At 41.6% G+C, this 15,135-nt stretch overlaps 1 protein-coding gene across 11 annotated transcripts in view, besides 1 other annotated feature; it reads left to right on the forward strand.

Annotated features, from left to right (window-relative positions):
* The window catches only part of USP6 (ubiquitin specific peptidase 6), a 58,960-nt gene that overhangs the window by 40,526 nt on the left and 3,299 nt on the right, over window positions 1-15,135 (forward strand). For 10 of the 11 annotated variants that reach the window (NM_001304284.2, XM_011524050.2, XM_047437018.1 and 7 more), the window contains 6 exons: window positions 4,971-5,057; window positions 6,327-6,447; window positions 11,375-11,566; window positions 12,210-12,498; window positions 13,922-14,358; window positions 15,030-15,122. In NM_001304284.2, the coding sequence (NP_001291213.1) occupies window positions 4,971-5,057; window positions 6,327-6,447; window positions 11,375-11,566; window positions 12,210-12,498; window positions 13,922-14,358; window positions 15,030-15,122 (1,219 nt within the window). Of the gene's footprint in view, window positions 1-4,970; window positions 5,058-6,326; window positions 6,448-6,740; window positions 6,816-11,374; window positions 11,567-12,209; window positions 12,499-13,921; window positions 14,359-15,029; window positions 15,123-15,135 lie in introns of those variants that run through there. The other variant, XM_011524058.3, reaches the window with a different exon arrangement.
* Window positions 9,304-9,504: a silencer, noted in NCBI's record as "peak2704 fragment used in MPRA reporter construct". NCBI's record gives its function as "represses an SCP1 promoter by STARR-seq MPRAs in K562 erythroleukemia cells {active_cell/tissue: K562}" and the evidence as "EXISTENCE:reporter gene assay evidence [ECO:0000049][PMID:32103011]".

Raw genomic sequence — 15,135 nt, forward strand, 5'->3', positions numbered from 1 at the left:
AGCCTCCCAAAGTGCGGGGATTACAGGCGTGAGCCACCTCACCCAGCCTGTAGATCATTTTCTTGCCATCATGGTACAAATGAGAGTTCTGTTTTATGGTAACTAAAAAAAGTTCTTTACTTATTTGTTATGATGTGGGGTCTTTTGATGATTAGGGTAGGGCTTAGGATAAATACATCTTTTTTTTTTTTTTGAGACATTCTTAATTTGTCACCCAGGCTGGAATGCAGTGGTGTGATTTTGGTTCACTGCAAACTCCGCCTCCAGGTTCAAGTGATTTTCATGCCTCAGACACCTGAGTAGCTGGGATTACAGATGCTCGCAACCACACCCAGCTAATTTTTGTATTTTTAGTAGAGACTGGGTTTCACCATGTTGGCCAGGCTGATCTCAAACTCCTGGCCTCAAGTGATCCATCTACCTCAGCCTCCCAAAGTACTGGTATTACAGGTGTGAGCCACCACACCTGGCCAGATTTAAATTTAAAGATTTAAATAAATCTTTACTTAAATAAGTTATTTATTTATTTTTATTTTGTATTTTTTTGAGACGGAGTCTCGCTCTGTCACCCAGGCTGGAGTGCAGTGGTGTGATCTTGGCTCAACGCAACCTCCACCTCCCGGGTTCAAGTGATTCTCCTGCCTCAGCCTCCTGAGTCGCTGGGATTACAGGTGCCTGCCACCACGCCTGGCTAGTTTTTGTATTTTCAGTACAGGCAGGGTTTCACCAGGTTGGCCAGGCTGGTCTCAAACTCCTGACCTCAAGTGATCTGCCCGCCTCAGTCTCCCAAAGTGCTGGGATTACAGGCATGAGCCATCGCGCCCAGCCAAAATAAGTTATTTAAATAATTATTTAAAGTATTTAAGATTTAAATAAATCGTAAAGGAAAACTGCAAATAATAGATAAGCAGTTTAGTTAATGAATGTTTTGTTTAGTAAAGATGAAAGTTGGACAAGATTAAATTTGAAGTGAAGTAATTGAATTAAAAAGCTTCTAGATGTGGGCCTTTCCCAGGACTTGCTAATGAATTGGATGTGGAGTATAGGGAAAGAGGAATCCAGGCTGACTTCTTTTTTCTGGTTGGCGGGGGGCGGGATGGAGTCTTGCTCTGTCGCCAGGCTGGAGTGCAGTGGCATGATCTCAGCTCACTGCACCTCTGCCTCCCAGGTTCAAGCAATTCTTCTGCCTCAGCCTCCCGAGTAGCTGGGAGTACAGGTGCACACCACCACACTCGGCTAATTTTTGTATTTTTAGTAGAGACAGGGTTTCACCATGTTGGCCAGGATGGTTTCGATCTCCTGACCTCATGATCCCACCTCAGCCTCCCGAAGTGGTGGAATTACAGGCGTGAGCCACTGCACCCGGCCCAGGCTGGCTTTTTACCCTGAACAATTGTTTGTGAATGGTGGTACCATTTAATGGAAAAAGGAAAACTGGAGAAGGAGCAGATTTTGGCAAGAAAAGACAGGAATCAAGTTAAATTCAAGAAGTCTATTATATATTCAAGTGTAAAATTAACTTGAATGTCCTCTGCTGAAGATATAAACATAGATGTCATCAACAAATAGGTGGTATTTAAAGCCCTGAGACCAGATGATTAACATTTAGAGAGTGAGATTTAAATAGAGAAGATTCCCATGATCTATACATGAACTCTGAACTGAGTTCATATGCATTCCGACATTTAGAGATTGAAAAGGGAAAAAGAAGCATCAAAAGAGATCGAGGCTGGGTGCAGTGGCTCATGCCTGTAGTCCCAGCACTTCAGGAGGCCGAGGTGGGAGGATCACTTGACGCCAGGAGATCAAGACCAACCTGCCCAACATGGCAAAACCCCGTCTCTACTAAAAATGCAAAAATTAGCTGGGCATGGTAGTATGTGCCTGTAATCCCAGATACTTGGGTGGCTGAGGCATGAGAATCACTTCAACCCTGGAGGTGGAAGTTGCAGTGAGCTGAGATCACACCACTGTACTCCAGCCTGGGTGACAGAGCAAGACTCTGTCTCAAAAGAGAGAGAGGGAGAGAGAGAGAGAGAGAGAGAGAGGGAGAGGGGGAGAGAGAGAGAGAGAGAGAGAGAGAGAGAGAGAGAGAGAGAGAGAGAGAGAGAGAGATTGAGAAGAAGCAGCCCGTAATGTAAGAAGAAAACCAGGAGTTAAGTGAAGGAAGTACTTCAAGAAAGGAGTGATAGTTGTTTCAAATGCTACAGAGGACTGGGAATTGCCCACTGGATTTGATAAAATGGTCTTTGGTGATCTTTGTGAAAGCTATTTTAGTATAGATAAAGGAGTAGAGATTGGAGTGGGTTAAAGACAGAACGGTCCTTTGGACGTTAAGAAAGGTAGCCAGGCATGGTAGCTCTCACCTGATTCTAGTGGTACTTGGTAAAGTTATGGATGAAATAAGAGTGGCCTGGAGTTGATGATTTTTATAGTTGTGTAAAGAATACATGGGGTATTTCATTGCATAGTTCTCAACTTCTTGAGTGTTTATGTCAATAAATTTGAAATTTTAGATTAAATGGACAAAATCCTGGAATTAAGGGTCTATGTAGAAGAGTGATTATTTTCAGGGACAGTGGGTAAAGAGGCAAGTGAGGATTTCAGGGCAGCGATTGGAGGTTTCTCTTGGGTGAAAGAATCATTAGAATAGGGATGTTTGAATAAGTAGTAAGTAACCCAAAAAGATAGGAGGTTGTGGTTGCAAAGTAGGATACCGGGAATTGAGATTTTGGAGGTAGAAAAGTTTGTATTCACAAGGTCTAGAATATGACATTTGGAGAGGGTTTACATATGGGGTGGAGGAAGTTATTGTTGGAAGAGAGAAGACCAAGTTACTGTTGTATTAATTGCATTGATGCTGATGTCACCAAGAATAATAACAGGAGAAGTGGTGGAGAAAAAACACAGTGAACTAGGTGCTGCAATCTGTAGTGAGTAAAGAAGATATGTACCTTCCAAGGAGGAATAGCAGGTGGCATAATTCAGTAGCACATGATACAAAGAAGCTGGAATGTTTTAGAAAAGGAAGGAAGAAGAGATCATGTACAAGTGGCATAGGAATAAGGAAGAGATCTATTTTACCTCCAGGTTCTGGAACGTATGAGAATAAAAAGTTCAGAGGGTAGGGTGTGGTGGCTCAAGCCTGTAATCCCAGCACTTTAGGAGGCTGAGGCAGGAGGATCACTTGAGCCCAGGAGTTCAAGACCAGGCTGGACAACATGGCAAAATGCTGTCTTTACAAAAAATGTAAAAATTAGCCAGGTATGGTGGTGCATGCCTGTAATCCTAGCTACTTGGGAGGCTGATGTGGGAGGATCACCTGAGCCCAGAAAGGTGGAGGCTGCTATGAGCCATAATCATGCTACTGCACTCCAGCCTGGGCAACAGAGTGATACCCCGTCTCAAAAAAAAAAAAAAAAAATGGAAAAAGTCTGCAGGGGGAGCAGGATTCTCAAGAAAGCCAGGCTTCGTTCAGTTAGAGCAAAAAGGTAAAAGAAATTTTTAGAAGAGAAGTGTTGCACAGCTTTCTATGAGAGTGCTACTTGATTGTTTTATCCCATTATCTTTCTTTTGATTCCTCACTTATTGCTGGCCTGAGTTGGACATGGTACTAGACAGTACAGGCTATCAGTGATCATTCACTGGATGAGTTATGCAGAAAGATGGGAACTCTTATGCCAGATGTGATTCTCACTTTTGCCCTTACAGTGACTCTTTATCATGGTTTCATTACCTTCAATAGCCCATGTAATAACCACTATCATTTGCCAGATGAGCTGTAAAGTATGCCACTCTTATGTTATATTCCTTGCATTGCTTCCTTCTCCCCCACCCCCAGCTTTATTGAACTATAATTGACAAGTAGGAATTGTATATACATCTAAGACATACAGCTTATATTTCGATAATATGTATAAATTGTTGCACTGCTCCTTGTTAGGGCAAGGATGAGTAAATTTTTTTAAAAGTTGGAAAATTCACAAGGCCATCTTGACATAATCATTGGCAGTTAAAAGAAGTTACTCCATGGTGTATATGTGCCACATTTTCTTAATCCAGTCTGTTGTTGTTGGACATTTGGCTTGGTTCCAAGTCTTTGCTATTGTGAATAGTGCTGCAATAAACACACGTGTGCATGTGTCTTTCTAGCAGCATGATTTATAATCCTTTGGGTATATACCCAGTAATGGGATTGCTGGGTCAAATGGTATTTCTAGTTCTAGATCCCTGAGGAATCGCCACACTGACTTCCACAATGGTTGAGCTAGTTTACAGTCCCACCAACAGTGTAAAAGTGTTCCTATTTCTCCACATCCTCTCCAGCACCTGTTGTTTCCTGACTTTTTAATGATCACCATTCTAACTGGTGTGAGATGGGTGCAGCACACCAACATGGCACATGTACACATATGTAACTAACCTGCATGTTGTGCACATGTACCCTAAAGCTTAAAGTATAATAAAAAAAAGAAGTTACTCCAAAAATGGTATGTAGCTTATAACTCTGAGTAGTTAAGGCAGTACTTAGCATGTACCACATCAGCAATTCTGATTAAAGAAGACTTCTAAATATACAGCTTTCTGCAATGTGTCAGTGTTCTTGTCATGGAAAGATCTAATTATTTTAGTTTAATGTGAATTAAATCCTCTGATAGAATGAAGGATAATTGGTATTTGATTTCATGATTAGCTTACCTTGTAAAATTTTCGTGGGCCACATGGACTCCCTTAGAGACATCTGGCAGTCTGTCTACCCTTCTGTAAGCCCAGATAGAGGATGGGAAGCCAGAGTGTATTTGGTACTGGGCTGCAGCTAATGGATTAGGGTAAGTAACATTGAGCTGTCAACATGAGCATACTGCTGTGGCAAATGCCCCTTCCTAGGATTACTTCAAGAGAAGATGAAAAGGAGTTGGACCTCGAACCAGAAATGCTTCTTACACTCTTTTTGTTCTCTTCTGTTTCAGTGATAACTGTATGGGCTATCAATATCCATTCACTCTACGAGTTGTGCAGAAAGATGGGAACTCCTGTGCTTGGTGCCCACAGTATAGGTAAAGTGACCTGCAAAAGAATTACTTTAGTAGAATTTCAGCTTTAGATATTATACAATTTTCCTAAGATTTCCAATTTTGAGAAGTAAATAGTGAATAATGAGAAACTTAAGAACTGTGGCTGGGCACCATGGCTCAGGCCTGTAATCCCATCACTTTGAGAAGCCGAGGCGGGTGGATCACCTGAGATCAGGAGTTTGAGACCAGCCTAACCTGGTAAAACCCCATCTCTACTAAAAATACAAAAATTAGTGGGGCATGGTGGTGTGTGCCTGTAATCCCAGCTCCTTGGGAGACTGAGGCAGGAGAATCACTTGAACCCAGGAGGCGGAGACTGCAGTGAGCCAAGGTTGCGCCATTGCACTCCAGCCTGGGCAACAAGAGTGAAACTCTGTCTCAAAAAAAGTTTTTCACTTCCTTTTGAGGTCAATAGATAAGTTTTGCTTTTGAGACTTAGCTGGTTTTATAAACTACAGTCCATACCAAATTCATAACTTGTGACAAACATTTATTACTCTATAAATTCACCTCTCCTTTTTTGTTTTGTTTTGTTTTGAGATGGAGTCTCGCTGTGTCACCCAGGCTGGGGTGCAGTGGCTCAATCTTGGCTCACTGCAACCTCTGCCTCCCAGGTTCAAGCAATTCTCCTGCCTCAGCCTCCCGAGTAGCTGGGACTACAGTTGCACACCACTGTACCCAGCTAATTTCTGCATTTTTAGTAGGAATGGGGTTTTGCCATGTTAAACTGGTCTCGAACTCCTGACCTCAGGTGATCCACCCACCTCAGCCTCCCAAAGTGCTGGGATTACAGGCATGAGACACCATGCCCAGCCTCTGTAAACTTTTATATGCATTTATTTAATCTGCCATTTTACAAACAAGGAGATAGGTGTTATACCAGATAAATTGTCCTACCTCAGAGCATTAAATAACTGAATTTGGAATTTCTTGCATGCTGTAGTATCTCAAACAGCCAATTCCCATGTCATTTATTTGCCATAAAGTTCACATCTTCCTGTGATTAACAGATGGTTATCAAGTACTTTGTAAAAATAAAGACTTGAAAAGTGAAAAGCATGATTCCCTGAAATGATAATAATTATTAATAAGTATCCTTACATTTATCAGAGTCTGAAGTTAGAAGCCCATGACAAATTGTGAGGCCCAAGAGGAAAGCAGAAAAGTAGGAAGGGAGAATATTTTTTATTAAGAAAATTTAAATTCCTTCATAATTATTTCTTCCTCTGTGGATCTTTCCCCCCTTTTTAGATTTTGCAGAGGCTGTAAAATTGATTGTGGGGAAGACAGAGCTTTCATTGGAAATGCCTATATTGCTGTGGATTGGCACCCCACAGCCCTTCACCTTCGCTATCAAACATCCCAGGAAAGGGTAAGAATTTAGGGCCACCGTAAAATGGTGGTTTTTATATGGGAAATTTCCCCCAGTGTAACTATTATGCCATTTCTGTTTGACAATTTAAAAACAACCAGAAAAACCTTCATTGGCATCCTCTATGGCACCTAATATATTGACATGTTTGCTTGAGCTTTTTCATTTTCCAGCTTCTGGAGTTCATTGTATTGGGGCATTGTCTTTGTCCATTTTGTGTTGCTATAACAGAGTACGTGAGGCTGGTAACTTACAAAGAAAAGAGGTTTACTTAGCTTACTACTATTCGGCAGCCTGGGAAGTTCAAGGACATGGTCCTGGCTTCTGGCAAAGACTTCTGTGCTGCATCATAACATGGCAGAGAAGAGCAAAGGAGAACAGACACAGGCAAGAGGGAGGACCAAACAGGAGGAAGATCCTCGCTTTCTAACAGCCCGCTCTCTTGGAAACTAAGTTCTCAGAAGAGAACTCACTACTGCAAGAATGGCACCAACCATTTATGAGAGTTTCACCCCTGTGACCGAAACACCTCCTACTAGGCCCCACCTCCTAACAACGCCACATTGGGAATCAAATTTCAACATGCATTTTGGTGGAGACAAACCATATCCAAACTATAGCAGGCATTAAATTTCAAAAATATTAATAAGTGAATCTTGAAACAAAACTGTGTCTGGCCATGACATATCAATAAGCATCTCTCTGTTAAATATTATCGAAGTTGCAGCATTTGGTAACCAGGTAACCACAGTTACTTAGTTCAAGTGTGTCCCAGGGCTGTAGCTGCTCCCTTTAATAGGCAGAGTGATCAGAACAGTTAGAGAAAGGATTGAAATGTTTCCATTTTGGGTACCTAAGAGCACATCTCAATGGCCGCTCTTCACACTTCACATTCTTCTATTGTCGCTGTCTGGCCAGAGCAATTTTTAAATTTTGAAAATGTTGCTTCAGAAATAATTTTAATTCCATACCTAAAAATGCTTGCCTCAGGCAGTTTTTAATCAACCAAATATTATTTGAAAGGTAAAGACATTAAGAATCTGATGGAGAGGTAAAAGCAACAGAGTCAAAGGAGTTCCTTAAGTCACATGAGGAATTGTAGTGGTTTTTGCATTTTTATGGCTCTTGATAGTTGGAAATTTCCTTTACTAGTTTTTAAAGCATTCCCTTTGGATAAGTTAATAATGGTAACTGACTTTTCTGTCTTGTTATGCTATGGAGGACTGGGGAAACTACCAATTCTAGACCTAGTTTCCTATTTAGATCCCAAAATATGCCCCACACACCGAGGTTCCTGGGAGCCCTTTCTAGCCAGGAATAAGTATAATTTGTGGATACTTGTCAAATGAAAGATCACTAGGCTAAAGCTAAAGAAAGCTGAAGAGAAACTAATGTTCTAGATCATGCTCACTAGCAAGGAGGGAAAATTTTACGAGTTGATAGATTCATAAATCTTTGTTAGCACAAAATCTGACAGGGCATTATTCTGACATTACTGTCAATGATGATAAATTATTTGGCTCTATAAATCTCTTCCTCTTTTTAACAAATCCAGTGTGCAATCGGAAAAGCTCTTTAGGACATCCTGCTTATAGGAAACGGCCTACGTGACCTGTTAAATCTTACCCTACTTCCACTTTCAGTGATGCACTTAGGATACCATGGAAACGAAGGGCTGTTGATGCCTTGCTAGGGAGTGGGGCCATATGCCTAATCGGGGCTCCACTACATGTAGGGTTTCTGCATGTGCTTAGAAAGTCATGTAGACAAAAGAGATACTGTGGTTTAAATTGGGATTATTGCCCATATGCTTTATATTTTTTATTCCAGTGATTTCCCTTTTAGGAATTTATCTGAGGGGAGAATACTCTGTAATTACTCCATAATTTGCAGGCAAATATCATCATAGCATTTTTTAGGAGAGTAAAAAGTTATTAACAACTTATATTTGTCTCACATTAGAGGAATGGTTAAATAAAGCATGGTGTATTCATTGGATAAAATATAATGCAGTTGTTGAAAATGATTACTAGGAGTTTTTGCTAACATTTATGGGAACATGCTTACGATATGTGAACATTGTTTTAAAAACAAGACATAAAGTTGCATATACTGGAAATAATACCTTCAATATTGAAAAAAATACTATTTAGGAAAAAGGACAGAAGAAAATCTGCCAATATTTTGACAGTGGGTTGCCTTTGTATTAAGAATATAACAGGATTCCCTGCCTTTTTACATTTTTCTCTGCTTTCCAAAATTTCCACATGAATATTATACCTAGTAATCAGAAAAAAATAGAGGGGCAATCACTCTTATCCTTTATATTTCTCTCCTGTTTGGACCTCAGATTCCTCAGTAGAAAATGAAACTAGATGCCAGCCTGGGCAATATGATGTCACCCTGTCTTTACAAAAAATGCACAAATTAGCCAGGTGTGGTGGTGTGCACCTATAGTCCCAGCTGCTTGGGAGGCTGAGGATGGAGGATTGCTTGAGCCCAAGAGATCAAGGCTGCAGTGAGCTGTGATCTCGCCAGTGCACTCCAGCCTGGGTAACAAAGCAAGACCCTGTCTCAAAACAAAACAAAACAAAACAAAAACAAAAAAGAAAAAAAAATTAAACTAGACAAATTCTTAGGCCTCTCTCTTTAATAGTCTTATATGAAAACTATTACTTCATTTCCTGTGTTTTGTGTTAAAGATGAGCTTTAAAGCAACTCTGAAAAAGAAGAGGGTTCCTATAGGTAATTTATAGACTATTTAAACAGTAGTAGAGGATCTAAGCATAGATCCCAAGAGGTAAAGGGAATCTTTATCACTTTGGGAACTTTTACTGATAAATAGAAATTACTGTCAGTACAGTCCACAAATATGTTGTTTATCAGCCATCTTTCCTCCCTGTCTTCCTCTAGCACTGTAGCCTGTGTTCCCCAGAAAATATGGTCAATAAAATTCAACATTCTTTACTAGCTTACTCTCATTTGTGGTTGGCCATAAAGTATTCCTGGTAGAGATAATAGAGATAATGTTTAACTGGCCATGAGAAAGGAAACACTATCGTATATGATACACCCCTTTTTCTACTCATTCCAACAACGATGATACAGCACGTTTCCTTTTGAAGCACGTGTTTTTTCCTTGAGTGACCAGTTCAAAAGATGATGACAGTTAATATCTTGTTACTACAGAATTTGTACTCAAAAAAGAAGTCTATAACCCAAGTCCAAGCCAGATTTCCTTTTCTAAAAAAAGAATTTTCCTCTAAGTTCCCCTTTTTAAATGAGCTCTTTAGCCTGGGTAGTTATGCAGTGCTAGAACCGTAACTGCATGATCAAACCCAACCTTGCTAGTTTATAACAGCATTTGACAGCCTCGTGACTCTCATGTAGGGAAAAAGTCTCGCCTGAAAACCCATGCTAAGCTGAATGTCTTGAGCTGTGCCAATTTGTATTCCAGGCAGCCTAAGGTTCCCATCATGAGTTTCAGGAAGGGAAATTCATGGAGGAAGTTCACCTCTGGAAGGGAGGAGCAATAAATAGGGTGGGTGATGGACATATGTGACATTTGCCACAGAGAGGCAGTCAGTGTGGGCCTTGTGGTCCGGGCTGTGCTTTGGGACACAAATATATACTGTGTGAAGTCTTAACGGTAGCATTCATAACCCTGATGCTTCACCCACCTTCCCATACATTAGAGGGACAAACAGAAGGATCCCAGCTCTATGGTTCTTGATTGTTTGTCAGGTAGCAGCCAGGCATGGAGAGGGAAAAATTCTTTCTCTTCTGCTGCATTCTAGATCCTTCCTTCTCTCCTTCTTCATTCTACACCACCCCCAACATACATCCCTGCACCCCGCCCATTCTTTGCTCTCTCTCCTTTCTTACACTTGACTCCTTCTTGCTCCACAGCCTAACATGCTGATTAACAGGACCCCAAAGGTTTGGGTGGGTATTAGAGGCCTTCTCAACAAAAGCAGCACACTCTTGAGCTTGTTCTTCCTTTTGTTGCCATCTCAGATAAAAAGGCCCCATGAGGGAGGAGACAGATAATTATAGACTTGGTATTCTGATAACTCTGTGTTACATGGGATCAGATGCAAATGAGTTGTACCCTGTGGTGTTTCATGCTCTGCTGTGTTGTCTTCTCATGGTGAGCTTTTCTGTGCCCTCATTTCATCCAGCTCTGGTTTCTGTGTTTCATGTTATTTCTCCTAGCCTCGTAAACTCTGCAGCATACTAATAATGCTCTGGCTTTCTGATTAAAAATAAATGGCTTACTATCAGCACCCCTGGCTTGAGGGCCAGCTCACATGTAACCCCTTATAGGATTCCAAAGTTGTTAAATAAATTCAATTCTTTTTGTTTTTGTCATTTTGAAGCATTCAAAAATCTTTCAAGAAAAGTTATGGTCATATAAACAGAAATTTTATCCAGAATGTTACTGATGTAACATTTGTGAATAAATGTGTAGGTGTTGTATTTGCTCGGACTCTAGTTTGGGTTGTGTTTTCTTTTCCCTTTTTTTGAGACAAGGTCTCTCTCTGTCATCCGGGCTGGAGTGCAGTGGCGTAATCACAGCTCACTGCAACCTCTACCTCCCAGACTCAAGCAATCCTCCTGAGTAGCTGGGACTACAGACATGCGCCACAATGCCCAGCTAATTTTTAGATTTTTCTTTTACTGAGACAGGGTCTCACTCTGTTGGCCAGGCTGGTTTTGAACTCCTGGACTCAAGCGATTCCCCCCACCTCGGCCTCCTAAAGTGCTAGGATTACAGGCCTGAGCCATCATACCCAGCCAGTTGTATTTTCTTTTTCCTTATAAAGAGTAAAATAAGGGTGAGTGACCGAGCGGTTGATGCATAGCTAGATCACCAGTTTAAATGCCTTCCCACACACCCCTTTCCTCCTGTTCCCTCTACCTACAGGTTGTAGATAAGCATGAGAGTGTGGAGCAGAGTCGGCGAGCGCAAGCCGAGCCCATCAACCTGGACAGCTGTCTCCGTGCTTTCACCAGTGAGGAAGAGCTAGGGGAAAGTGAGATGTACTACTGTTCCAAGTGTAAGACCCACTGCTTAGCAACAAAGAAGCTGGATCTCTGGAGGCTTCCACCCTTCCTGGTATGTTACGGTCCTGCCTCTGAGAGAGCAGGAATCTAGCATAAAAGAAAGAAGACATGAACAAACAGGAGGTTTTGTTATTTTTGAGAATAAGACTTTTCCTGCAGCAGTGTTTAAAACACATTCTGTACAAGGTTTTTATGTTGAATACAGAGATGAATCTTTCTACAAATATTTGGTAGTTCCTTTTCCTAAAAAGCTCATAACCTAGAAGAAGAGATCAATCATGTAGCCCAGTAACTGCAATTCAGTGCGATGTGAGAACTGCCACAAGGGGTACAACGTGGTGAATGTGAACTTCAGGAGAGGGTGAACTTCTGGCTCTGTGGAGAGAGGAAGCTTAGGCTAGCCCTTTGTGGACTCTAGAAGAGCAACTGAGCCCGGGGGCAATACCCACTGCACATAGTCACGTGGCTGTGGCCACACTGCTGAGTTGAGCGCGTGTGCACAAGGACGCCAGTGCACTAGGGCCTGTGTAGAGGCCTTTATGAAACCATATTTTTGAAGTCTTTAAAAAATAATGAAGAGTAAATGTTCTGTTATATATTTCCAAACATTCACATGTATTTGACTTGTTTTTTCCATGTAAATTTTGTATCTTCAGAACCCTTTAATGCGATGTTTTCTACCTTTACTTCTCCAGATTATTCACCTTAAGCGATTTCAATTTGTAAATGATCAGTGGATAAAATCACAGAAAATTGTCAGATTTCTTCGGGAAAGTTTTGATCCGAGTGCTTTTTTGGTACCACGAGACCCGGCCCTCTGCCAGCATAAACCACTCACACCCCAGGGGGATGAGCTCTCCAAGCCCAGGATTCTGGCAAGAGAGGTGAAGAAAGTGGATGCGCAGAGTTCGGCTGGAAAAGAGGACATGCTCCTAAGCAAAAGCCCATCCTCACTCAGCGCTAACATCAGCAGCAGCCCAAAAGGTGAGGCCTGGGGGCCTTATGCAGTTGCTTTCTTGGGACTCCTGTAGGCTACATATGTTTCTCTGTCTTCTGTTCTGGAACATCAGGTTGGTTGGGTGGAAGGAACCTATCTGGAATCAGACCTATCTGTATTTGAGCTATGTAAGTTGTAGCAAGAGATTCAGCCTCCCTGAATCTATTTCCTCATCTGTAAAATGGAGATAATGCCAGGTTTACAGAGTTGAGAGTTTGACACATGGAGAGTAAAGCACTTCACACAGTGCCTGATGTATGGTAAACAGGAATGGTAGCTGCTGTCTTGTCCCCTTATAGTGAAAGTTCTGAGGTTCCCCATCTTTCAGGGGGTCTAGAGGATCAAAACTCCTTTTTTATTTATTTATTTTATTTTTTGTTTTTTTGAGACAGGGTCTCACTCTGTCACCCAGGCTGGAGTGCAGTGGTGCAACACAGATCACAGCTCACTGCAGCCTGGACCTCCTGGGGTCAATCAATCCTCCCACCTCAGCTTCCTGAGTAGCTGGGACTACAGGCATGCACCACTGCACCTGGCTAATTTTTGTATTTTTTGTAGAGATGGTGCTTCGCCATGTTTCCCAGGCTGGGCTCGAACTCCTGCACCCAAGTGAACCTCCTGCTTCGGCCTCCTAAAGTGCTGGGATTACAGGTGTGAGCCACTGTGCCTGGCCCAAAATGATTTTCATAAAAATACTGAGAAAATATGTGCTTTTTCACTTTTTTTCTCTCACAGATGTACAATGGTGTAAGAGAAAACATGACATGGAATAATATCGTCACTTTGACAGTGAAGTCTGTGCTAATGTATTGTACTTTTTCATTCCTCAGTTTTAATTTCTAATACAGGAAATATTGATAGATAAAATTCACATAAAAGTTCTAAAGGTTCTCAATAATTTTTAAAGGTATAAAAGGGGGTAGGGGTAAGAGGCTATAACTAAAAGGTTTAAAGCCTTGCAGGATTTTTGTGAGACACAGAGGTAACAACGGACAGCAGGAAATTCCCAGTACCATGCCTAACAATAGGAAGTACTCAGTAAATGGTGGTCACATTTTTTGTCTAATTTTACAAAGGAGAGGAATATGTATTTGGAAAACTCCTTACTCTAATAGTTGGATTTTTTTCAACTGAATCATCATAAATCATAATCATCTTTCTGCTGTTTTCTGAGTCCCTATAATGCACTTTACATTTTCAGGACATTGTTGCTTATAGGGACTTGGCATTGAAGAAGACAAAAATGTAACTTACTGGCTACACAATAGGAACCAAAGGGTAGCCAGTCATGACTCCCCTGTCTTTACCTTTGTGTGTACAGTTGCAAAGCTAACCTCGGAGTTAGCATTTGGGGCTGGCTTACTTTCTGGCATTTGGATTTGTGAATCTTTTCTTCTGTCCTGTTCACAGGTTCTCCTTCTTCATCAAGAAAAAGTGGAACCAGCTGTCCCTCCAGCAAAAACAGCAGCCCTAATAGCAGCCCACGGACTTTGGGGAGGAGCAAAGGGAGGCTCCGGCTGCCCCAGATTGGCAGCAAAAATAAGCCGTCAAGTAGTAAGAAGAACTTGGATGCCAGCAAAGAGAATGGGGCTGGGCAGATCTGTGAGCTGGCTGACGCCTTGAGCCGAGGGCATATGCGGGGGGGCAGCCAACCAGAGCTGGTCACTCCTCAGGACCATGAGGTAGCTTTGGCCAATGGATTCCTTTATGAGCATGAAGCATGTGGCAATGGCTGTGGCGATGGCTACAGCAATGGTCAGCTTGGAAACCACAGTGAAGAAGACAGCACTGATGACCAAAGAGAAGACACTCATATTAAGCCTATTTATAATCTATATGCAATTTCAGTAAGTGGTTTATTATACGGTTTTCAGAGAGTGGTCTGTGTTTTGTTCACTTGTCTTCATGTATTCATCAGCAAGTATTTTTCAGGTCCTGCTAATTTCCTAGCATTGAGCTTAGTGATAGACAAAGTTAACATTGAAATCTGGGCTCACAGATGTGGTGTGGTGGCTCACACCTGTAATCCCAGCACTTTAGAAGGCTGAGACAGGAGGATCGCTTGAGCCCAGGAGTTTGAGACCAGCTGCTTGGGCCCCGTCTCTACAAATAATTTTAAAATGGAGCGAGGTATGGTGGCATGTGCCTGTGGTCCCAGCTACTTGAAAGGCTGAGGCAGAAGGATCACCTGAGCCCAGAAGGTCAAGTCTTTAGAGAGTTGTGATCACTCGACTGCACCCCAGCCTGGGTGATAGAGCAAGCCCCTGTCTCAAAATAATAATAATAATAATAGTAATTACAATTATAAAATGATTGTTTATCCACACAAGACTTGGAGCTTATGACTTTTGTATTTTGCTTTTTGCTTATTTTGGTTTTAGAGAAAGAGGGTTCTAAAATATTTTCTCACCTATTGATCATTTACATGATCAGTGTTCTCCTGCTCAGATCTTAGTGCTATACCCTGGCCATAGTACAGTTAACTACTAACATACCTCCACTCTCTTATCTCTTACAGTGCCATTCAGGAATTCTGAGTGGGGGCCATTACATCACTTATGCCAAAAACCCAAACTGCAAGTGGTACTGTTATAATGACAGCAGCTGTGAGGTAAACATTCTCA

The sequence above is a fragment of the Homo sapiens genome, chromosome 17 (genome assembly GCF_000001405.40).
Source record: "Homo sapiens chromosome 17, GRCh38.p14 Primary Assembly".
In the NCBI taxonomy this organism is placed as follows: domain Eukaryota; kingdom Metazoa; phylum Chordata; class Mammalia; order Primates; family Hominidae; genus Homo; species Homo sapiens.